The sequence below is a fragment of the Homo sapiens genome, chromosome 4 (genome assembly GCF_000001405.40).
Source record: "Homo sapiens chromosome 4, GRCh38.p14 Primary Assembly".
Classification (NCBI taxonomy): domain Eukaryota; kingdom Metazoa; phylum Chordata; class Mammalia; order Primates; family Hominidae; genus Homo; species Homo sapiens.
Window position 1 is genome coordinate 82,612,597 of NC_000004.12, and position 24,850 is coordinate 82,637,446.

General features: G+C 44.7%; 1 protein-coding gene and 1 long non-coding RNA gene across 3 annotated transcripts in view; both read right to left on the reverse strand.

Annotated features, from left to right (window-relative positions):
• Positions 1-516: 516 nt before the first annotated feature.
• Positions 517-8,841, reverse strand: LINC00575 (long intergenic non-protein coding RNA 575). 2 transcript variants are annotated; one of them, NR_024088.1, is made up of 4 exons: positions 8,616-8,841; positions 2,297-2,423; positions 1,276-1,498; positions 517-788 (listed from the first exon to the last, which is right to left on the reverse strand). It is a non-coding gene; the product is annotated as a long intergenic non-protein coding RNA 575 (long non-coding RNA). The 2 variants fall into 2 exon arrangements; NR_024087.1 differs by having other exon boundaries at positions 2,297-2,485.
• Positions 8,842-16,942: 8,101 nt separating this feature from the next.
• Positions 16,943-24,850, reverse strand: part of SCD5 (stearoyl-CoA desaturase 5) — a 169,258-nt gene continuing 161,350 nt past the window's right edge. Inside the window, exons 4-5 of the mRNA NM_001037582.3 lie at positions 23,995-24,227; positions 16,943-18,921 (exon numbers count right to left, since the gene is read on the reverse strand). Of these exons, the coding sequence (NP_001032671.2) occupies positions 18,731-18,921; positions 23,995-24,227 (424 nt within the window). The 3' untranslated portion in view covers positions 16,943-18,730. The remainder of the gene's footprint in view (positions 18,922-23,994; positions 24,228-24,850) is intronic.

A 24,850-nucleotide genomic window follows, 5' to 3' on the forward strand; every position in this document is an offset into this window, starting at 1 on the left:
ATTAAGAGAATCCTCACCCTCTCTGTTTGAATCTTTAAATGCTTCAACACAGCTTTCAGATTTTCCTTTGCTTAAGCCACTGTCTTCCAGTATAAGGGTTTTAAACAGATAATTTCTCATTTGTTTTGTTTAGGGAAAATCTGTGGTAGTCTATTATTTGGCTCTATTTTAAATTTAGCTATTCTCTAAAGTCACCATTTAAATGAAATGAGGCACTTGGAAAAATAATTTTGTTTCCAATACTGTAAGAAATTAGTAGATTATCTTTCCTAGCTCAGCAACTTGTACTAATACCCTTGAGCTATTAAATTCAAAGCCAAAACTAAATAGCTTTGTTTTCGTTCCATCCATCCATTCTCCATTCTCCATCCATCCCACTCATTCACCCAACATTTACTTTGAGGAGCCTCTAGTAATAAAAGGTGTAACTTTAATGAAAGATCATGTGATAGATCAGGTTGAATTGACTTCTGTATTAGGGTTCTCCAGAGGGACAGAACAAATAAGATATATGCATATATAAAAGGAAGTTTATTAGGAAGAATTGGCTAGCACAATTACAAGGCAAAGTCCCATGATAGACTGTCTGCAAGCTGGGAAAGAGAGATGCCAGTAGTGGCTCAGTCCAAGTCCAAAAGCCTCAAAACCAGGGAAGCTGACAGTACAGTCGTCAGTCTGTGGCTTAAGGCCTGAGAACCCTTGGGAAGCCGCTGGTGCAAGTCCCAGAGTCCAAAGGTTGAAGAACCTGGAGTCTGATGTCCAAGCACAGGAGGAGCACAAGCAAGCACCTGGCAGGGGAAGAAGAAAGAGCCAGAAGACTCAGCAAGCAAACCGATCCCACCTTCTCCCACCTACCTTGTTCTAGCCACACTGGCAGGTGATTGGATGGTGCCCACCCACACTGAGGGTAGATCTTCCTCTCCCAGTCCACAGACTCATTTGTCAATCTCCTCTGGCAACAGCCTCAGGGACACCCAGAAACCATCCTTCACCAGCCATCCAGGCATACCTCTATCCAATCAACTTGACACCTCATATTAACCATCACAACTATTCTATTTGAGGTTCCTAATGTTGTTAAGAAGCTACAATTATCTGGACATGTATGCATGTATACACACAAGCACGCATGCATGCACACACACACATATATACACACAGAGTATCCTTCTGCACCTTTTTAAATTGGATATTCACACAGCTTATCTCAAGGTGACATCTTAAAAAGTCTCAATCAAGATTGTGGAATGGCCCAAGAAAAGGCTGGCTGAATACCTGGCCACCAAGAGGTCTCGCTGGTTGGCATTTTGACATCACCATTCTCAGGTCTTGCCCTCAGCTCTGTAGGCTCAGAAATGTGACTCCATCAGTCCTCCTGAGGAAAGATTCACAGTAGCCTTGCTCACTAGACACTGAAGAGCAAATCAATGGCTGGGGTGTTAATCACGATGAGAAACGCGACTGACACGTGGACTGTAATAGTTAGTGGGTTCTCATCCTATAGGAGAAATCAAATTATAATGACAAGAGTGCATGCTGAGCATGAATCAGAGTAAGGGAAATGACAGTCCACATATCCACTGGCATTAGTTTCTGAGAGTCTGATGAGGGACATCTAGGATAGGAGTATGGCCCCTGGGACTGCAGAAGGAAGACACGGGCTAGTGTACGTACAACGCACAGACAATACAAGATCCGCATAGCAGAACCTGTAGTTCATGTTGTCCACCTTCCCTCTGATGAATCTCCTTTTGTCTTTCCCTCTTTGGATACACTAATAACTGTTTTTTTTTTTTTTTTTTTTTAGACTGAGTATTGCTCTGCAGCCCAGGCCGGAGTGCAGTGGCACGATATTGGCTCACTGCAACCTCCGCCTCCCAGGTTCAAGAGATTCTTATGCCTCAGCCTCCTGAGTAGCTGGAACTACAGGCATGCGCCACCATGCCTGGATAATTTTTGTATTTTTAGTAGAGATGGGGTCTCACCATGTTGGCCAGGCTTGTCTCGAACTCCTCACCTCAAGTGATCCACTTGCCTTGGCTTCCTAAGGTGCTGGGATTACAGGAGTGAGCCACTGTGCTCAGCCTGATATACTAATATCTTGTAGAGTGTCTATAGCAACTTTACACACAAATGGGGCCTGATTTCACCCAAAACTATTCCCTGATATTTGATTGAAAGAATCTTTTGGTTCCACCCTTGCAGGATGCATTTCTATAGTTCGATTCTGAAAAGTGTTCCTTATTCCATGTTTGAGGGAGAGGGGTCCCTGACTCTGGCCCCGTTTACTGCTCACCCCTGAAGTCTTGGTTGCTTTTTAGATAATGCTGTTTCTCCTTTGCCTTCAGCAGAAGTGTAAGTCCTTGTCCATGCTCTGGATCTGTGCCAATTCCTACAGCTTCTTCTGGTTGGCATCCAAAGCCCTGAATATCATCATCCAAAGAGAGAAACAGTGCGATCTGATGACATGCAGTTCTGTAATATCCTGTTGGTTACAATCAGTTCTGACATAAAGTATTTATGGGATAGATAAGATCAGTTCAAGATCATAAAGTATTGAAAGGTGGATATACTAGAGGTAGACAAGAGGTTTGGGAGGATAAATCATGGCTTCCCGCTGTTCATTTCCCTTTGTCCAATGCCATTAATATGCATGTGATACCCAGAGAGTGAAAGATTTATTTCCCATTCAGCTTAACTACACAAACATTTATTCATTAAGCACCTATTTTCTGATACGTTCCATAGCAGGCAGTCAGTGAAATGAGGTATTTGGAAAAATAATTTTGTTTCTAATACAGTAAGAAATTAGTAGTTCGACTTTCCTAGCATGACAACTTTGTATTAATACCTGTGAGTTATTAGGTAGAATATAGAGATGAATGTGACATAGTCAAAAAGCTTGAGGTCTTCTGGAAGAGACAAAATATGTGTTTATTCATTCAATAAATATTTATTGAGCATTTATTATGTACCTCCCACATTTTGCTCCAGCCGTCATTCCCTTGTCATTCCCTGAGCCCATTGCACTGTTGCATCTGCCTGCTGTTACCCTTCCTGAGAGAGTGAAAGAAGTAGGAGCAAATGGACTAGTTAATGAAGCAAGGACCTGGAGCAAATAGGATGCAGGCAATCAAGGACACAGGCAGGAAGGCAAGAGAGCCTCTGCTGAGACTGTAGGAGAGGTGTGTGGATGATCAGGGATGTAGGTAAAACACGGTGGTGGTAGAAGGGCCACATGTGGAACACAGAGGGAGCATTGGATCTGGGCCAGTTCTGCCCAACACGGCATTCCTCTAATGGGACATTTTGGCTCAGGGACTCTCCAGAGACCTGACTGAGATTTTCTTGAACTTCTGCTGAGGTCTGAGGCTCTTCCCATTCAATCCCTCCTTCCCTTCCCGCTCTCCTTCCGCAGAGGTAGACCTGCACCATGGTTAAAGCCTTCTCCTAATTACCCCTGCTCCCTCGCCCTTTGTCCTCACAGGCATTTCCCTCAACAAACCTCTTGAACATAGAGTTCCTGCTTGGTGTCTGCCTCTCAGGGGACCCAAATGGATACCACATCTTATAAGTGGGGGAAAATGGAAGGCTGAAGGGACTCAGTGTGGTTTCTCCATGTGATGGAAGAATAGACGTACAGGGAATGAGAGCACGGGAATTGCAAGGGTTGGCGGCGAGGGCTGGAGAGCAGATTAGACAGATCAGGATGTAAAAGGGTTTCGGGGAGCAGAGTTCAGAGAATGGCTGTAGGAATAGGTTGCTGGAGGAGAGACGAAGGTCAATGACACTGGTCTGGAACTACCATGCAGTAATATTAGTTGCCTGTTCATTACTAATAGAACCCTGCTTTTATTCAGAACAGCAGCGGACCCAGCTGACAATTCTCAGCTTTCTTTGCAGTTAGGGGTGGCCAAGTATGTGTAAGTAAAAATCACTGGCTAGGGAAGGGGGGGGACACAAGGAAAAAAAGTGAGCAGTCACCTAGAAGGTGTGCCCATTTGCCATTTCTTCTCCTTTCTTCTTCCAGCCTTTCAGCCAGTTTGGACCATGAACCACTTTAAGGATGGAAACCAAGGCTAGGATGATGGAGCAAAAAGACAGGGGTCCTTAAACAACATGGAGTCACCATTCTAGCCCTGATTCGACTATATGAGAGGGTTTGTATTATTTAAGCCACTTTGCTGGGTATTTCATGTACAGTCAAACCAATTCTAACTGGTAGAGATAAATTGTTCATACAGACATAACTATCTCCTGGAGGTTGAGGTAGACAGAATGTATATAAGTCAGATGGAAAGATGCATAGTGTCTAAGGGGGAATGTTTTGGAGGCTAAGGGTGAGAGGAACAAGAAGAAAATGGCATGTATGTGAACGTGTACACGTCAGGGGAGGAGGGCCAAAGGGCAGAGGTTCTCGCCTGAGAGTGGAGACGTGCTGGATTGGAAATACCAATGAGAAATGGCCAGTAGGAGAGTATTTATCTCCCCTCACTGGCCCTAATGATTGTGGGGTGATGGAGTGGAGCAGCTTCTATCCTGGAAGGCTGAAATAAAGTGTTTGTTTCCAATGGGAGTTTAGAAACCAATGAAAATGGACAGGGGAGCTCTATTCAGTGAAGGAAAGAGTCAGAGGAAATAAATTACAAAAGAACACTGAGGCGAGCAGAGAGGCGAGGGCGAGTAGGGAGTGGAGCGTTGCCTTTGGGGAGGTGGCTAAAGACTGCAGAGAGCAGAAGTATGGAGGGAATGGCTTGCACCAACGTTTCAGCCCCTGACAGAGCCTCCTGCCGTGTCAGGCCCAGGTTCCATGGGAGGGGAGTGGGGGCGGGGGGGGGGAAGATCAGTGCAGCCTGCAGATTTCCTAAGTTTTTGCTGCTGTTCAGGGACAAATTTGCATAAGGTAGGAATGAGTCCTTGTCACAAATGTGGATCCTGACTCAAATACAGTTACGGTTACAGTTCAGCTCCATCTGAAGGTGAGAAACAAGCTCCCAGGTGAAGGGGCTCAGAGTCTGAAAGCTGCCTGGGCCAAGGTGCCTGGTAATTAGGGTTCGCCTTGCTGTCTGAGGACTGGAGCTGTTTCTGCCCCACTTGGCATTTCCCTATGTTCCCCCCTCAAATCAACAAATCATGACAACTCTAAGGATTTGGGGGTGGGGGACATTAAGTGAAGATCATTAAGTTTCATGTGTTACATGAAAGAACAAAGAACTGATATGAATGGAATGAATCTTAGCATTTTTGAAGTTTGAGAACTTCAAGTTCAGTCATACTTCTCCTTCCCCCATCTTTTTACCTATCCTAAAAATGCTGCATGGACAATAGGACCCAATTTTCTGAACCTCAAAGAAGATATACTATTTGATAATAAGTACATTTTTTGTTAACAGGCCAGCATTTTTGAAATTAGAAGAGCCCTCAAAAACGCAGGCTCTGTCTTCCTACTCTCTATGACATACTCAGTTTTTATAACTAAGTCAGTTTAGTTTTTAGGATTTTGTGGCACCCATCTCATCTTGGTGAGAATTATAAAATTCTCAAGGTTTTGTAAAAATAGATTTGGGAATTACCAACCTAGATATTTCCCAAAAGTGCATTAGACATCCCATGTCCTAAGCCAAGCAATTCACAGCCATCCTGCCTGCAGAGAGCACGCTTCTTAATCTTCTCCTCTTCAGAGCACACATCAGGCCTGGGAAGGCCAGTAAGCCCAGTTCCCAGTGAGTGACAAGTTTGGATTCCAGGGGTTCTGAGTAGACTTTGAACCTTCTCAATACTATTTTTGCCTCACTGCTTCGGTGACTTTGGACATTTTCTTCTGATTGATTAGGATTAAATGTGCTTTTCTAAGCTTCTGTTGAGACATGTGGTTCTCATTACTGTCACTGCTCATTTCCCACAGTCCAGCAGCCTCTCCCCCTTTCTCCAGCATTGCCTGTTATCTCAGGATCCCATTACAAGCCTGGAGGAACTGGCTGGGAGTCTGGATGTGGGTGATGAGGAAGGCTGGTAGGGAAGCCAGGAACCCACAGGAACTATGGTCCAGGAGTTCCATTCTTCTTTGTCCACAAACATAACAGGGCAGCCTGGGAGGGTTCAGGAGAGTCTTCTCCCCAAGTCAATATGTTAACCCATGTGGAATTTCACTAAATGAATGTCAAGGTGCATCAGTCAGGGGCCTGATGGGAAAGACGGTACCATCGAATTGGGTGATTTGAGTAGAGTTTAATCAAACCATGTGCTAGCTGGATTCTCTGGGAAGTAGATGCTGGGATGCAGTTAGGAGTGTGGAGTTAGTTAGAAGTTAGGATTTATTAGGGGTTATGTCTATGGAAGATAAAAGAAGCAGGAAGTAGGAATGAACAGGGAAAACCTTCAGTCTTGATGCAAATCACCTGTAATAAAAAAGAAGGGTCAAAGCAGGACTGGGCCAGGGAAGCTCAGAGCATGAGTCTGATCTGACTGAGTCTTAACCAACCCAGTCAGGAGCAGGAGCAAAGACAGCCAGTTAGAGGAGTCTCTGTTGTCACACAGAAATGGTCAGGACCCCCGGCCCTTGTATCCCCATCATATTCAGTCATTAGCTGGGGCTGTTCGGAAAGAGCGTGGCAAGCAGCAGCAGCAGCAGCAGCAGCAAGAACAACCATAAAATTGATCTTGAAGGTTGAAGGCAGTCAATTCACTGCAGCCTTGCAGCTGAATGGCAAGTTCTTTCATGCAAGAAGATCTGAGAGGTGCACCTCCATGGCTGCCACGTGGGATCCTCCCGAATGCACAGGTAGCGGGTAGAGCACCCACAGCCACAGAGCAGACTAGGAAGAGAGGGGCCCCACTGACCTCATCAGCCCTGAGTACAGACTGTCAGGTGGGGATGCAGCCTCCCTGAAGGGAGGGAGTCGGGGAGTAAGCACCTGCGCCTCACCCTCCTCCCTCCATCCTGCCAATGCTCCCCATTCTTCATCCGGAACAGCTTGTTGGTATAATGCATGCCCATCAGCCTCCCAGGGTGTTCAGCAGGGTGGAGGGGCTCAGCAAACACAGGCGGCACACCAGGGCAGCCTTGGAGAAGGAGCAAAGTCTCCCAGGGAGAGAGAATCCAGTGGTGGGGAAGGCCTGAGACAGGCAGAGATGTTTCTTTGTCTTGTCAAGCTTCTCCCCAGCTGTCTGCACCCCAGAGTCACTGCCCAGCTAACAAAGGATCTCTCTCCACCCGTCAGTAGCTCCACTGCCAAATCAGGGGCCTTAGGAATGAGTGCAGAGACAGACAGACAGAGAGAGAAAGAGAGAGAGAGAGAGAGAGAGAGAGAGAGAGAGAGAGAGAGAGAGAGAGAGAAGAGGAGAGGAGGGGAGAGGAGGGAAGGGGGAAAGGTAGGAGACACTTCAGAAACGGAGTGCCCACTCGCATACACCACACACATGCACACACACCACATTCTACTTTCCTGGGCCTTATACATGAGGGTGAGAGGTGACACAGGGACCAGAGTCTGAATCCAGCAGCATTCCTGAGGCTCCTTATGCACCTGCCTATGCAGCCCAAACTTCCCAGAACTGCCCCTCTTTCAGGGTCTTGATTATTGATTTGCAGAGTGGCCTGTGGCTATCCTTGCATGTGACCCTTAGGTCTCACCACTTCTGTCAGAGGACTCCTCTCTGATGGCAGCTCACTTTCTCCAGCTGCCTGTAGGCATTTATCTTGTGATGCTGTTTCACAGCCATTCACAGCCACAGGAAACATTAGTTCTGCTTCCGAGGAATGGACAATGCTGGGCAAATTACTTTTTGCAGCGAGCAGTTAAGATAATTTTTTAGTGATACGAACAGGACTCAGCCGATGGTGTTCAAAACAGTCCTGCTGGAGCTGAACTGGGAGCCGGCAGATGGCTTCTCTCCTAACTCAGTTTGACTGAGTGAGACATTTGATTTGAGCTTCTATTAAAGAGGTAGAATGTATTAAATTGTTTTGATGATGGTTGGCCTTTTTTCAGTGAAAGAATGTAACTTTTTTTGTCTATAAAAGAGTACACATGGACCATTTCCCTCTTCTACCCCCTATTCAGTAAGGCCCAGGCCAATTTCTTAAGTGAAGGCTCAGGACTTACTAAGTCACTTATTTTTCTACAACGTTTGCAAAAGTAATTGCTGAAAAATGTCCAAATGACGTGAGTGTATTTGGACAATGAGAAGGGAGATGGGTTTCCTTCCTAAGGGTCAGAAACTATACCCATCTCCCTGCTAGGTTCGGTCCCCTGACTTCACCACAGTGGGAGCTAAGTGAATTCTTGTTGATTGTTAAAAGGAAAGGCAAATAATTTTCCAGTGTTGTTTTCTGTTGGGACACTGACGTGATGCTGATCTGTAAGGCAGCTCTCTCTGTGGAATCACCACCACCTCGCATCCAGGGAGAATTAATTCAGGGCACAATGGAGACAGAGACCCAGCCGAGATGACAATTACAGGGTGGCGGAGTGGGTGGGGCGGAGGGGAAAGAGCAGGAGGCAGCGTTTGCTTTTGCCTTCTGATAGTCTCGCCTGGAACTTGGACACTTCTATATTATCCTTCTAGTCTGTAAAACAGTAGAAGGGAGTCTAAAGGAAGACATTTCCACTTACCTGTCTAAATCGGTTTGCTAAGGACTGCTGTAATAGAGATCACCAACTGAGTGGCTGAAACAACACAGATGTATTTCCTCCCAGTTCTGAGGATGAGAGATCATGCTGTCGGCAAGACTGGTTTCTTCTGAGGCCTTTCCCTTGGCTTGTAAATGGCTGCCTTATCCCAGGGACTTCATGCATTCTTCCCTGTGTGTGTATCTGTACCCTAATCTCCTTTTCTTGTGAGGTCACCTGTCAGATTGGATTAGCGCCCATCCTAATGAACTCTTTTTAACTTAATTACCTCTTTGAAGACCTTATCTCTAGTCACATTCTGAGGTACTAGAGGGTTAGGACTTCAGCATAAGAATTTGAGGGGACAAAATCCAGCCCATAACATTGCCATTGCCTGTTTCACTCCTTAGCCGAGTCTTTTGCTTGTGGCCTAGTGGTTGACCTAGTGGCAGGGAGGCGCAGCCTTCTAACTCTGACCGTCTGGAAATGGCTCTGTGATTGCACAGTCCTGGCAGTCAGCTGTATCTTGCATCCTATGGCACATGTTCTTCATAAAAGTTACATGAAGACTTTAAAGTTAAGGCATGTTTTCAAGGCCTGCTTATGAAAGGAAACCCGTAATAAATACTTTGTAAAATTCAGAATTGTCTTCTAATTTATTTACTTTTGTAAGTTCAGATTTCTGGGTCAACAATTTTCTTTTCTTTTCTTTTCTTTTTTTTTTTTTGAGATGGAGTTTCACTCTTGTTGCCCAGGCTGGAGTGCAATGGCACAATCTCGACTCACCGCAACCTCTGCCTCCCAGGTTCAAGCGATTCTCCTGCCTCAGCATCCTGAGTAGCTGGGATTACAGATACGAGCCGCCACGCCTGGCTAATTTTGTATTTTTAGTAGAGATGGGGTTTCTCCAGGTTGGTGAGGCTGGTCTCGAACTCCCAACTTCAGGTGATCTGCCCTCCTTGGCCTCCCAAAGTGCTGGGATTACAGGCGTGAGCCACCGTGCCAGGCTTGGGTCAACAATTTTCCAAGAGAAGGGCCTATCCATATTCATAAACGCCAACAGTTCAGCAAAAATTTTGGAGGTCTTGCTACATGGTAAGCTCTTGCTGCTGGGCGCTTAGGATACAACTGTGCACAGGACAAATGAGGGCCTTGCCTGCCTGCAGTTTCATATTTAACAGGGCAAACAGAAGATGAGACACAGAAATACTAAATTGAATTTTCTTTCTTTTCTTTTTTGTTTTTTAGAGATGGGGTCTTGCTATGTTGCCCAGGCTGGTCTCGAACTCTTGACTTCAGGAGACCCTCCCAACTTGGCCTCCCGAAGTGCTGGGATTACAGGTGTGAGCCACCAGAACTGGCAGAGTTTTCTTTCTGCATTGTAGTACAGTGCATCTACCCATTCATTCACTCATTCATTCATTCAGTAAATTTTTAGTGAGCACATCCCACCTCTCAGGCCTTGTCATGTGGGCAGGGAAAACACTGGTGAAGAAGACAGTCATGGTCTGCATGGCTCTTACATATGAGTTGTGAATTATTAGCATATTGTTTTGTAGATGCAGCTGTAATAGATTTATAAAATTGAGCCAAATATTGTCACAACTAGGTGTAGTTTGGGAAAATACTTCTTGATGAATCTCCCTCCTTTCTTCCTTCCTTCCTTCCCTCCCCCCCTCCCTCCCTCCCTTCCTTCCTTCCCTCCCTCCCTCCTTCCGTCCCTCCCTTCCTCCCTCCCTTCCTTCCTTCCTGTTGAACAAAATTTCAGAGATTTGAAGTGTTTTTGCAGATTGGCTTGTGGAAGTTCTACAGTACCACCAGTGGTCTTTCAAGCCTGATATGCTTTCATTTGATTTCCTTTTTGATGCAAAAGAAATTTTTAAAATGTACTAAAATCAGTGGCATAGAAATTGCAGTAAGGGATGTTCTCAATTAGAAGTAACCCATAAGTGCTGTATATCCATGAGCCAGGAACATTCGTCTATTTAGCCAAGTGGAAAGACAAGTGAGACGGGGGTTAGCAAAAAATAGATAAATATGCATACTTTCAAAAGAGTAATTATATTTTTACACCTCTTCAAGCTGTCCTATTTTCTCTGTCTCTTTTTTATGTGGCAATGCTAAATTTAAAGCAAATGGAAAAACAACCAGACTGAATGTTACAACAAAGGATATTGTATCAAACAAACTAACCAAGACAAGTTTGTTGAGAAGGTTTTAATTAGTTGAGCTTCGTGCACGCTCAGCCAAGTTCTAGTATGCTGCATAGAACTTTGGCAGACAAATCACTATGGCATGTGATGGTGACTGACCTTACTTTGAAGCAAATTATTACTTCCAAGAATTATAATGCTGCAACTTCTTGGACATAGCAATGCTCATTTTAAGGACATCTTTTAGATAGAAATTTAAGAAACAAAACAATACAAAGCAAAACAAAAACAAAAAGTGATACTGTTTAGAACTATCTAGCCATCCAAATGGCATGCCATGAATATCTACCAGCTTCATGATTCTATGTCAATCTACAGCTGTTTACATAAAGAAAGGCTTTGACATGGGGCAGGTTAGCTGAGCATCCCTCGGCACAATGACCTTGAGCCTCTTCCCTGCTTTTCTTTTTCTTTTTTTTTTTTTTTGAGATGGAGTCTCACTCTGTTGCCCAGGCTGGAGTGCAGTGGCGCCATCTTGGCTCACTGCAACTTCTGCCTCCCAGTTCAAGTGATTCTCCATTCTCAGCCTCTCCGGTGGCTGGGATTACAGGCCCGCACCACCACACCCAGCTAATTTTTGTGTTTTTAGTAGATCCAGGGTTTCACCATGTTGGCCAGGCTGATCTCCAACTCCTGGCCTCAAGTGATCCACCCGCCTTGGCCTGCCAAAGTGCTGGGATTATAGGCATGGCCACTGTGCCTGGCCAGTTTTTTTTCTTTTATGGGATATAACGCTGGTATAGCTTCTGGCCATATCTTTTGCTTGGGTAAAGCAGAAGCTTGCATTTTCTAAGCTTGTTTGCTACTGATTCCCATAGTTTTTAATAGAAGAAGAGAACAAAGCAGTCACTGGTTCTAGTTCTTACATACATAGATGATGGAACAGAGGTTTCAATATTTTTCCTTTGGCTGTTTGTCTCCTAACAAGGTAACAATCCGAATATTCCTCTGTGGTGTAGAGGTAGGCCAAAGAATCAGGTAATGTATAAACAAAACTACGTCAAAAAGGCCTGTCCATTTCAGTGTCTTAAGACTGACCCAAGCCTCTGGCTTCAAATGGATTGAAAAGGTGGTGAAAAGGGCCATTGCTTAAAGATTTTCTACATAGAGGCAAAATCAAGATATTCACTGTTGGCTGGGCATGGTGGCTCACGTCTGTAATCCCAGCACCTTGGGAGGCTGAAGCGGGCGGATCACCTGAGGTCGGGAATTCGAGACCAGCCTGACCAACATGGAGAAACCCCATCTCTACTAAAAATACAAAATTAGCTGGGTGTGGTGGTGCATGCCTGCAACCCCAGCTACTCCAGAGCCTGAGGCAGGAGAATCGCTTGGACCCAGGAGACAGAGGTTGCGGTGAGCCGAGATTGTACCACTGCACTCCAGCCTGGGCAACAAGAGCGAAACTCCATCTCAAAAAAAAAGATATTCACTGTTAATTATTTGAAACCATCCAGGCCAAAATACCCACTTTGAGATCCTTTGTCCACTGGTTGGCCATGGTGCAGCTGTGTGCACATTCTAACACACTGACTCAAAGAGTTTGGATCCCATGTGTTGCAAATAGTTCAGTCTAGCAGGAGCTGTGGACAACAGTGCAGACAGATGTGCTCATTGGTTGGCACATCCGAAATAAGCACTTTATGATGCTAGAAATGAAAGTGCCCTTTAGTTCCGAGGAGGAAATAGAAGGCACTCAGTCAGCTCTGATCAAGCCATTCTTGGATTCATGGGCAGCAATTGCAGGGCCAGGAAGGAGCTGAAGTGAATCTTCCTTATCCCTCTGCCTCGGGTGTCAGAACCTGTTTACTGGAACTGGAAGATATTGCCTACATTGCCTGAGACAGGCCTTCCCTCCTCTTGCTTCTGATGTTGCAGAGTAGAAGTCAGGAACTTTTCAGAGAAGGAAACTGAATCCAGAAAGGCTGATGTTTCTCAAGGCCACAGAGCTGGCCGGTAGCAGAGCTGGGGACTTGAGGTGAACTTGAGTTGGCTCCACTGTCCCAGGCTGGCTCCATGAGTCTGCCATGACGCCTGTGGGACACATGCTGTCTTTGAGACATTGGAGATCCCAGTTAGCTTAGTTCATCTCCACCAATGCTCACATCATGTACTTTATAGGGAGCTCCCCCGACCCCACGCAGCAGCTTGGCCACACAGCTCAGAATAAGAACGCACCCTTACACACAGCTCCTGTGTTTTGCGATACATGTGCTGTGAGCACAGGCTTATGTGAAATCTGGTCATAAAACTACAAACACACCCTTGCTGTGGTGGGCCCAGTCATTTTGTCCACCCACAGCACAGGGGTTGCCAGCTCTGTCTCACAGTTGGTACCTCTAGAAGAAAGCAACTTCTGAGACTTCTGGCCGGGCATGGTGGTTCACACCTGTAATCCCAACATTTTGGGAGGCCAAGGCGGGCGGATCACCTGAGGTCAGGAGTTTTGAGACCAGCCTGGCCAACGTGGTGAAGCCCCATCTCTACCCCCAACAACAACAACAGAAATCCGGGCATCGTGGCATGCACCTGTAGTCCCAGCTACTGGGGAGGCTGAGGTGGGAGGATTGCTTGAACCCAGGAGGTGGAGGTTGCAGTGAGGGGAGGTTGCAATGAGCTGAGATTGCGCCACTGCACTCCAGCCTGGGTGACAGAGTGAGACCTTGTAAGAAAGAAAAAGAGAGAGAGAGAGGAAAGAAAGAAAGAAAGAAAGAAAGAGAAAGCAAGCAAGCAAGCAACTTCTGAGATTCAATGGTAACATTGAGAGTTGCCTCATAGAGGATTGAGAACAAGTGGGGAGGAGGGCAGCTATTAGTAGATCCCTAGTTGTGAGGGATTCAGATGGCTGGTTGAAGGTAATGCCATCTTTTTTCCATAGTAAACCTAGGCCAGCAGCTGTAAGGAAGGGTACTCTTTTGCAGGGCAAAGTCTTCACAGCCCCAGCTAGCCCAGGCTGCTGTTAGCTGATATTTTCCTTTTGGATCCTGTGAAGCAGTTACAGGCAGGATGTGGCTGACTGTTCTTCCAGATGGGGAGTCGTGGCACCACGGGGTCGGGGGGTGAATGGAGAGGGAAAGAAGGCTGTGTCGGAGCCCACAGAAGCTGCTGGGACAGCCGGGCTTGTTGCCCTGAGACAGGCCTTCCCTCCTCCTGCTTCTGATGTTGCAAATGTAGAAGTCAGGAACATCCTTGGGGTGGGATGGGGGCTTCGGACTCTACAGTCCACAGGGAAGTAGCAGAGGGAACAAGGAAAGGAGTTTCCAGTTCATTTATAGCACATCCTTGACGTAGAGGAAGGGGAAGGAGTTTGATTAACACCCTAAGCTAAAAATGGGAATTTTTTTTTTTGAGACAGAGTCTCACTCTGTTGCCCAGGCTGGAGTGCAGTGGTGCAATCCGGCTCACTGCAAGCTCCGCCTTCTGGGTTCAAGCAATTCTCCTGCCTCAGCCTCCAGAGTAGCTGGGACTACAGGCATCTGCCACCATGCCCGGCTAGTTTTTTGTATTTTTAGTAGAGATGGGGTTTCACTGTTACCCAGGATGGTCTCGATCTCCTGACCTCGTGATCTGCCCGCCTCGGCCTCCCAAAGTGCTGGGATTACAGATGTGAGCCACCACACCTGGCCAAAAATGGGAAAATTTTTTAAGAAAGGATTATAAAGGTTAGGAGATTTCTTTCAGCCACTGAGAACACAACTGGTTTTCAGTCCCCTTTGTAATTGGGGACAGGAGTGAAATGGACAAATGAACCTCACAGATAATCCCCAATGCTTACTCTCATCCATGAGTTTCAACCTCTCCCCTCCACAAATCTATTCCAGGTCCTGATGAGCTGACTGAAGCATAGGGACATTGCAGGCCAGACCTGTCCTTTGACACAGGTGCGAGGCACAGTAAGGAGGCCAGGGGTGCAGAGGGCCACGCGGAGGCCTGGAACTGATGGAGGCACACGGTTGCAAAGACTCCCCAGAACGGCAGAGCTGGACAGGTTAACCCAATCCAGTTGGTCCTTTATGGAAAGTGAAACCAAAGTTCCCAGAGGTTAGAGCCATCTGGTTAGTTAGCAAAACCAGGCCCAGAAGCTGGCTCACTTCTGGTCTATGGCTCTCTGCACCATATCCCAGTCTCTGGCTTGTGTGTGGGGCATGCTACTCACCCTCAACTGATGTCTCCCAGGGCTCTGCAATGCCCCAGGCACTGGGATGAGGCTTCCAGATTCATCTAATACACATAAATGTTGCTCTTCCTGTCGTGTAGACAAGGACACTGAGGCTCAGAGAGGCTCCGCAGGCTAGTAAATGACAATTTCATATGTCATATTTCAGCCTTAACCTGAGTCCCAGGTAACACAGCCAGTCAGATCAAGAGTTAGAGTTCAAATCCAGGTCTCAGGACTCCAAGTCCAGTGCTATTTCTACTACCCCATTAAGCTGTAGAGCTTTCTGTAATAATTTCTCTCATTAAATTGTTTTTCATGATGGGTTATATTTAATTGCTTTATTGCATTTTAGGAATGCACAAAATATATGCAGATTTTTTAAAACCAAGAACATTCTATCCTTCCAGCCTCAGTCTGTGTTCTCCCATTCAGATTCACTTACTCCCTCCCACTCCCAATTTTTGACCTTCTATGTCCAGAAAGGATGAGTGCTAACTTGAGAGGTGTTTCGAATTTGAAGTCAGGCATATGAGAACACGCCCGACTCATCTCTGTTGCTGTGGTCGAATGTTAGGGCTGAAGGGGACCTTAGAGAAGAGTCCTCTCTTTTCAGAGAAGGAAACTGAATCCAGAAAGGCTGACGTTTCTCAAGGCCACAGAGCTGGCCAGTAGCAGAGTTGGGGACTCGAGGTGAACTTGAGTTGGCTCCACTGTCCCAGGCTGGCTCCATGACTCTGCCATGACGCCTGTGGGACACATGCTATTGGAATTGCTTTCCCTGGGCTCCCTTCACCTAGATGCAGGGGTGGGTGCTTCTGAAATAAGCCTTGTGAGGATGAGGAGATTAAAGACTGGACATGGGGGGACCATTTTTTTATCTTAAACTGAAACTTTCAAACAATGTATCAGTCTAAGGCCACCTTGGATAGGTTTGGGAAATAACTCCCAGAGCTACTTTCTGTTAAGATGCTGCTGAGACCTGAAAGGAATGTTAACAGGGAAGACACTAGTGCAATCTAACCTTTGTCCAACTCTTCCTCCAAATCATTCCAATCCGAGGTCATTCATGGCTCTGCTGCAGAAAAAAAGATGGCACTCAGGTTCAGAGGAAGGAGATTCTAGATTTATTTGGTCTAGCTGGGAAATACCCTCCTTTTGTAAAAAGATTCCAAATAGCTGTTCCAAATGTCATCTTTTTGACTAATGGACAAGTAAGTAAGTTTAGTACTTTTAGGAGTCAAAGGTTCACATATACATTCCCAATTAAGGGCCATTTCACATCATGCTGATACAAACTTATCTTGGAATGTGACTACCCTCCACCTGCGCTCTATACAAGGTCTTAGCAATGTGTGACTGGGATATGAAGCAGCTGAAAAATGCTACGGTCACATCCAAAGGGTCCTTACATGATGTGATCTAGCCTGGTACCCATCAATGGCTAGAATCCCACTCAACTGCAGACACGTTAAGAAGCTTCTACCTGACAGTACAGCCACAGCTGCTTTGGGGCAAAAGATGGGTGGAGACTTTGGTGGTGCAGAGGTGAGGTTGAGAGAGGCAGGACTAGAGTGAAAACAGGAGTCCATCTCCCCCACCTCTGGTAACTATTGGTGGGGCCTGGAGAGGGGAAGGTGTCCTTCATGCTCCTTTGGGTGACATATAGGAGTAGATTCCCAATTATCATCTATAAGCACTCCCAGTGGCTGCTGGTGAGTGAGAATCAGGGAACAATACCACTGGGAGTTCTACATTCCAAATAAAACTTGCTGGCTTCCTCTGGCTGTTGCCTAAGGCCGATAGGATAGGACAGGCCTGGTCTCAGGGGCTGGTCTCAGGGGCTGTTGTTAGCCCAGAGCCCAAATCCCAATGTGAGTCATACAATCATCATGAGGCACCAAGCACTCTGGAAAGAACATTCTCTAAACAGCACTGAAGTATCTGGACAAGAACACCAATGAATTCATAATCATTTATTGTAAATCACTCACAGTTTACACATTACCAGTGGCAAAATAACACTGTTAAACACCTACTGGATGAAGAACTTCATTGTGACTATTTCCAATTGCCATCATATCTTTTTCTAAAATTTAAAATTTAACTTTTAAATCCTACATCTTTTCTGAAAATATCTATCTTCAAAGTGCTCCAATACTAACACTATAAGCCCTTTCTTTTGCTCTAACATCTAACACAAAGGGCACACTGTCCCATTAATTCCACATGCACTTTACAAAGCAACTTCACACACAAATTTTTTTAATCCAGAAGCTACATAATGATCACTTTATATTTTGCTACAAAATTAATGAAGGCTGCATGCAGGTGAAACATTAGTAGACACGGAATTCTAGATAACTGTTGGTTCTCAAGATCTGATGGTCTGATGTGGAAAATTAATATGCTTATTTAGCAGAAGTAGCTAAAGTACATGCATCAGTGGCTGGGATCAATTAGAATATAAATTAGGTGCTTAAACATTTAAACGAGAGCTTAATTTGAGCTTAATTTGATGTCTGGCATGTCAGAGTTATACACCTTTAAGATAACAATAGCAAACAGAACAAAATCAAACATCTAAACAGGCATGATTTATAAGGTGGGCTGGCCATAGGGCTCAGGACACAAAACGAGCTGGGCAGTGAACAAATCTCTCTTGAAACAAAGACAGTAGAGCATTAACAAGCTGTAAACACAGCAAAAAAATAAACAAGAGCCATTTCCTGTATTCTCATTTTTTTCAGTTTTTGATTCTCTTAAGCAAACAATAAAACCACACACACACAATAATTAACAAAACAGAAACATTCTTTAGTTACCACATAGATCCCCCTTCTGTCTTCTACCCTGCCTCTCTGCTCCTTCAGATGGTTGTTTAAAAGCAATGATGGGTTAATTGGTAGAAAAGAAAACAAATGCTCTCCTGAACTACACTGAAAGAATATTACTTTCCTTCATCCTGTCAGGGTTAGCATCATGTTCAAGCACATGACAACGTATATTTGACGTATTTTAGCTATAGCGATTAAATCACATGTCCACACTCTAATGTTAAATCGTAGTAATATTGACTTGAAAAGTTTTTTAGGCTGGGCGCGCTGGCTCCCAGCTACTCGGGAGGCTGAGGCAGGAGAATGGCGTGAACCCGGGAGGCGGAGCTTGCAGTGAGCTGAGATCTCGCCACTGCACTCCAGCCTGGGGGACAGAGCGAGCCTCCGTCTCAAAAAAAAAAAAGTTTTTTTCGGCAGGGTGCGGTGGCTCACGCCTGTAATCCCAGCTCTTTGGGAGGCCGAGGCGGGTGGATTGCCTGAGGTCAGGAATTCGAGGCCAGTCTGGCCAACATGATGAAACCCTGTCTCTACTAAAAATACAAAAAAATTAGCTGGGTGTGGTGGCAGGCTCCTGTAATCTCAGCTACTCAGGAGGCTGAGGCAGGAGAATTGCTTGAACCAGGTAGGTGGAGGCTGCAGTGAGCCGAGACTGCGCCACTGCACTCCAGCCTGGGTGACAGAGTGAGACTCTGTCTCAAAAACAAAACAAACAAAAAAAAAAACGAAAGTTTTTTCATTGATAATTGTATTTCAACATTATTTTGAGATAAACAAAAACATTCCCAAACCACATTGACTCGTTCCTTCCCCACCCTCTGCCCCCTCCCACGATCCAATGTACAAGAGAGCTATTGTAACCAAAGCCATGAACCGAGGTTGCAACGGCAGACATGTGGGATGGCTGTTCCAAGTTCAAGCACTGCTGTCTCCAGTCCTGGCCTTCCGGGCCTCGATCATCGGCTTGGTTGCCCGTTTGCGGTCAGTGGCCAGCCCCAGCCAGCACATGAAATCAATGAACCAGGTGGTTGGGTTAAAATTTAAGCCAAATTCACTCGCAGAGTAGTCAAAGGGAAAGGTGTGATGGTAATTATGGAAGCCTTCACCTGGAAGACAAAGCGGGCATTGATATAATTCAATCACCACCTCTCTGCATAGATGTTTTGAATCACCTATTTTTTCAGGGTTTACCATGTGCAGGACATGGTGTCAGCCTCTGTGAGGAGCAAAAGACTTGGTTACTGACTCCAAAGGCATTGACTTAGTTAGCTAGACAAACAATATGAACAGAAAAAATAGCAATAAATCGTCACAAGATTAACTTTCCTATGTGAACTGCAGACATGATACCATGACCTCAGAGCTATCCTTCTTAAGGTAAATGCTAAATGGCTGATAACAGATCATCGTTTTGATGTACAACTGTTTTTAAAAAATAGTCTCTGTGGGCTGGAGTGATTAAAAAATCCTTTTTTGGAAGAGCTCAAGAGAGACAAATGAGAATCATTCAAATAGGTAAGTAAATTAAATATCTTTAAATATCTAGAATGTACTTATATATTATTCTACCCCTTCCAGTGGCCAGTGGGCAGCTTTTACTCTCTCACTTTTTTTCATGTAGCTTTTCTTTATTATTTATTATACTTTAAGTTCTAGGGTACATGTGCACAATGTGCAGGTTTGTTACATATGTATACATGTGCCATGTTGGTTTGCTGCACCCATTAACTGGTCATTTACATTAGGTATTTCTCCTAATGCTATCCCTCCCCCCTCCCCCCACCCCACGACAGGCCCCGGTGTGTGATGTTCCCCGCCCTGTGTCCAAGCGTTCTCACTGTTCAATTCCCACCTATGAGTGAGAACATGCGGTGTTTGGTTTTCTGTCCTTGTGATAGTTTGCTCAGAATGATGGTTTCTAGCTTCATCCATGTTGCCACAAACGACATGAACTCATCCTTTTTTATGGCTGCATAGTATTCCATGGTGTATATGTGCCACATTTTTTTTAATCCAGTCTATCATTGATGGATATTTGGGTTGGTTCCAAGTCTTTGCTATTGTTAATAGTGCCACAATAAACATACGTGTGCATGTGTCTTTATAGTAGCATGATTTACAATCCTTTGGGTATATACCCAGTAATGGGATGGCTGGGTCAAATGGTATTTCTAGTTCTAGATCCTTGAGGAATTGCCACACTGTCTTCCACAATGGTTGAACTAGTTTATAGTCCCACCAACAGTGTAAAAGTGTTCCTATTTCTCCACATCCTCTCCAGCACCTGTTGTTTCCTGACTTTTTAATGATCGCCATTCTAACTGGTGTGAGATGGTATCTCATTGTGGTTTTGATTTGCATGACTCTCTCACTTTTTTTAAAAGATGTACTCATGAGAGCTCTCATGGCTTCTCTGATTTGATTTTTTAAATTTCTTTTACTTATTTTTTAATTGACAAATAAAATTTGTATATATTTATCATGTACAACACCGGGTTCTGAGATATGTATAAATTTTGGAATAGTTAAATTGAGCTAAGTGACATGTGCATTACCTCACACACTTATGTTTTTGTGGTAAGAACACTTAAAATCTACTCTCTCAGTGATTTTCAAGAATACAATACATTGTTATTGACTGTAGTCACTATCGCCATGTTTTACAGTAGACCTCTTGAACTTGTTCCTCTAGTCAGACTGAAAATTTGTACCCTTTGACCAATATCTCTCAACAACCCCCCTGCCCCAGCCTCTGGTAACCACCATTCTGCTCTACTTCGTTCAACTTTTTTAGATTCCACATAGAAGTGAGATCGTGCAGCGTTTGTCTTTCTGTGCCTGGCTTACTTCACTTAGCATAATGTCCTCCAGGTTCATTCAAGTTGTGGCAAATGACAGGATTTTCTCTTTTTTAAGGCTGAATAGTATTCCATGATGCATATGTGATACATATTCTTTATCCATTCATCTGTTGATGGACACTTAATTTGATTGCACATCTTGGCTACTGTGAATAATCCTGTTTAAACATGGGAGTATAGATATCTCTTCAACATCCTGATTTCATTTCCTTTGGATCTATACCCAGAAGTAGGATTGCGAGATCATATGGTAGCTCTATTTTTAATTTTTTTGAGCAACCTCCATACTGTTTTCCATAATGGCTACACTAATTTACATTCTCACCAACAGTGTGCAAGGGTTCCCTTTTTTCACATCCTCACCAACACTTGTTATCTTTTATCCTTCTGATAATAGTCATTCAAATAAGTGTGAGGTAATATCTCATTGTGGTTTTAATTTGCATTTCTCTAAGGATTAGTTCATTTGATTTTCATAAACAGCTTTGTTGAGATAAAATTCACTTACTGTACAATTCACCCTCTTGAAGTATACAATTTAATGGCTTTTAATATATTCACAGAGTTATGCATCCATCACCACAATCAATTTTACAACATTTTCATTACTCTCCAAAAAGACCCACATGCCTTAGCCATCACCCCCAACCGCCTCCTACTCCCTCCCAGTCCTGTTTTCTATCTGTGTAGATTTGCCTATTTCAGACACTTCATAAAAATAAAATCATACAATATGTAGTCCTTTGTGACTAGCTTCTTCCACATAAAAAATGTTTTCAAGGTTCATTCATTTTGTATCAAGTATCAGATCTTCATTCTTTTTATTGCCAAACGGTATTTCATTATATGGATGTACAACATTGTACGTATCCATCCATCAGTTGATGGACATTTGTGTTGTTTCCACTTTTAGCTATTATGAATAACGTTGCTATGAACATTGATATACAAGTTTTTGTGTGGACATATGTTTTCATTTCTCTTTGGTATAAATGTAGGAGTGGAGTTGCTGGATCACATAGTAACTATTTTTAACTGTTTGAGAAACTGTCAGACTCTTTTCTTACTTCTTAAGTGGCTACTAGTCATCACATAGTTCTGCCACTGACCATGTTTAAAGGATTTCGCTCTATAACGAGTACCTCAAGATGGATCCATCTGTGGTCTGCAATTTTCTTTTAAATTTATGCCATCCCTACCCTGCACACCACCTCCCCCCCCCATCATTTTTAGTGTTTTTCCTGGATTAAAGAGCGGTATGGAAAAGTTTCTTCACCCTATTTTCAGAAACAGACATTATGATGTACTCCCCACTCTACTGCACAACTGGATATGGCAAGAGCTTTCCAAGGACTTTTGGGAGGCAAACTGTCTGGGAGTCCAGTGTTGAGCTGGATAGACTTATAACCAATACCTAGCTCCTTAGGGCCCATGTCATGGCCATACTGCTTGAGTTTCCTGGCCCATCCATCCCTACATGGTGACGGACCATCTTGTCCCCATTTCTGTCTACTCACAGAATCAACACTGGCCACGGCTTCCCTCATTACAGTCCTTTCAGAAGATGCAGGGCAAGAGGAGGGGAAAGCCATAGGAAGGGTTGGGGCACTGCCCCTCCTGTTTTCCAAGGCACTTTCTCCCTGCTTATGCAGTTATTCCCTGGCTAAATGTAGTGTTCACTCCACCTTCTATTGCTGCCATCAGTGCAAGTTGACAAGAACTTTGGGATCCCTGGGGTCTGAAAAACAGATGGCCCTAATGAAGTGATGCAGAATCTCATCACTGAGTGACACAGAGACCATTTCTACTTAACAGTAGGAACTTTCCTATGTTTGATCTCTGTGCTCAAGGCTCAGCTTACCAAGAAGTCTGAGTTGCTTCTACAAAGGTAGAGCTAATATTTCTTAATCACCTTGCTTTGACAGGTATTAACTCCTTTTAGCCTGAGGCCTCTGAAGTAACTGCTATGATTATCCCTGCTATGATTAAAACGAGGAGATAAATGCAAAGAAGGGACAAGTAAGTTGCCTAAGAACACATGACTAGCAATAAAAGCAACATCACGGGCCGGGCACGGTGGCTCACGCCTGTAATCCCAGCACTTTGGGAGGCCGAGGCAGGCGGATCATGAGGTCAGGAGATCGAAACCATCCTGGCTAACACGGTGAAATCCCGTCTCTACTAAAAAATACAAAAAAATTAGCCAGGCGTGGTGGTGGGTGCCTGTAGTCCCAGCTACTCGGGAGGCTGAGGCAGGAGAATGGCGTGAACCTGGGAGGCAGAGCTTGCAGTGAGCCAAGATCACGCCACTGCACTCCAGCCTGGCAACAGAGCGAGACTCCGTCTTAAAAAAAAAAAAAAAAAAGCAACATCACGAAGGCTTGTTTCATACAAGCACTGGTAGGAACACTCTGTATCAACTCATTTAGCCCTCTAATGACCCAGGAGGAGGTAAGTGCTAGTATTACCCCCACTTTACAGATAGGGACACGAAAGGCAGAAGAACGAGTGACTTGCCCAGAGAGTAAGTGGAGGAACCAGGACTCAACCAAAGTCGCTGACTCCAGAGGCCTCACTCTTAACTGTTTCATGGTCCCGTGAAATGCCAAGTCTCATTCCTTCCCATGTCTTTGTTTGAAGGCCTTTTTTCTTAAGCTCTGCCAAATGATTGGACAGCTGAGGCTAGAATGGTCAGGACAGTTTGAGAGAAGAGTCAACTGCTGCTTCTCCTTTAGAACATTTCCATGGTCATGGTGAATAACTACTAGTTACTGATCACCTACTACGTGCCAGGCACTGTACTAAGCAGTTTACATATTCCTGTGACGTAAGCATTGCTAGTCCCATTTCACAGATAGGAAAACTGTAAATCAGAGAGATCACATGACTTGTCCAAGAGTCAGGATCCTAAAGCCAAAGCTCCTCTGGCAGGCCAAGGAGGGCAGATCACTTGGGGTCAGGAGTTTGAGACCATCCTGGCCACCATGGTGAAACCCCATCTCTACTAAAAAAAAAAAAAAATACAAAAATTAGCCAGGGATAGTGGTGGATGCCTGTAATCCCAGCTCCTCAGGAGGCTGAGGCAGGAGAATTGCTTGAACCCAGGAAGCAGAGGCTGCAGTCAGCCAAGATCGTGCCACTGCACTCCAGACTGGCCAACAGAGTGAGACTCTATCTCGGAAAAAAAAAAAAAAAGCTCAAGTTCACTGAACTCCATTCCACTCCACTGCTTCTCTTTACTGATTCCACAAAACTACTGAGAGGCCAAGAAAACCTGGGCCACCATTCTCCCCATTGGCCCTCAACACCCCTACTCACCAATGGCACCCAGAGCGACGAGTGGGTTCTGCCGAGGGCTGATGTGCTTGTCATAGGGCCGGTTTCCATACATGTGGGCGGCGCTGTTGACCAGCCAGCTGATGTTGAGTGAGATGGTATAGCGGAGAATAGAGGCCAAGAAGTAGGAATTCCACAGACTCTCTCCCCAGATGTACCAGGGCACCAGCGTGGGGACCACAAAGCACATGAGCACCACGGAGATCTTATAGTACCTACAGGGCAAGACACCATATCACCATGAGGACCCGCTGATGGGAGAGAGGATGGGCTGAGCAAGTCACAGGAAAAGTCAGAAAAAAGCCCAGGGAGAGAACTGTGCCAGTCAGCTCCTTCAACGCTTTCTATATGTGGAAGCCTGTTGTGTAGGGGTCACAAGACCCATATACCTGCAAGGGCTAGGCAGGTAACATAAATTTGAGAGTTGGGACAGGTAGAATGCTATAGGAAGTGGTAGGCCCTGTGGCATACCTCAGAATAACTTCAGTATAATCAACACTGTGCTGGCCAACCCATATATCTTAGAGCTACATTTATCCCACAGGCCACCAGTTCAAGATAGCACCTAGAGATTTCTTTCATCAATCAACCTGATATTCAGGTTTTCTCAAATAATTTTGAGAAATAGTTAATGCTTCTTAAATAATTTTAGGTACACAATTCTGTACTAACTCACCTTGGTAAAAAGGTAGACAATCTTCCACCCAAAAACAAGTTCTCTGTCCATCAGAGATTACGTTCCAAACCAGCAAAAAAATAATAAGTATAGAAACAGGCATGGCCACATAGAAAGTAATCATTAAGAAGCAAATCACCCATAGTTTGAGTTCTGGACCTA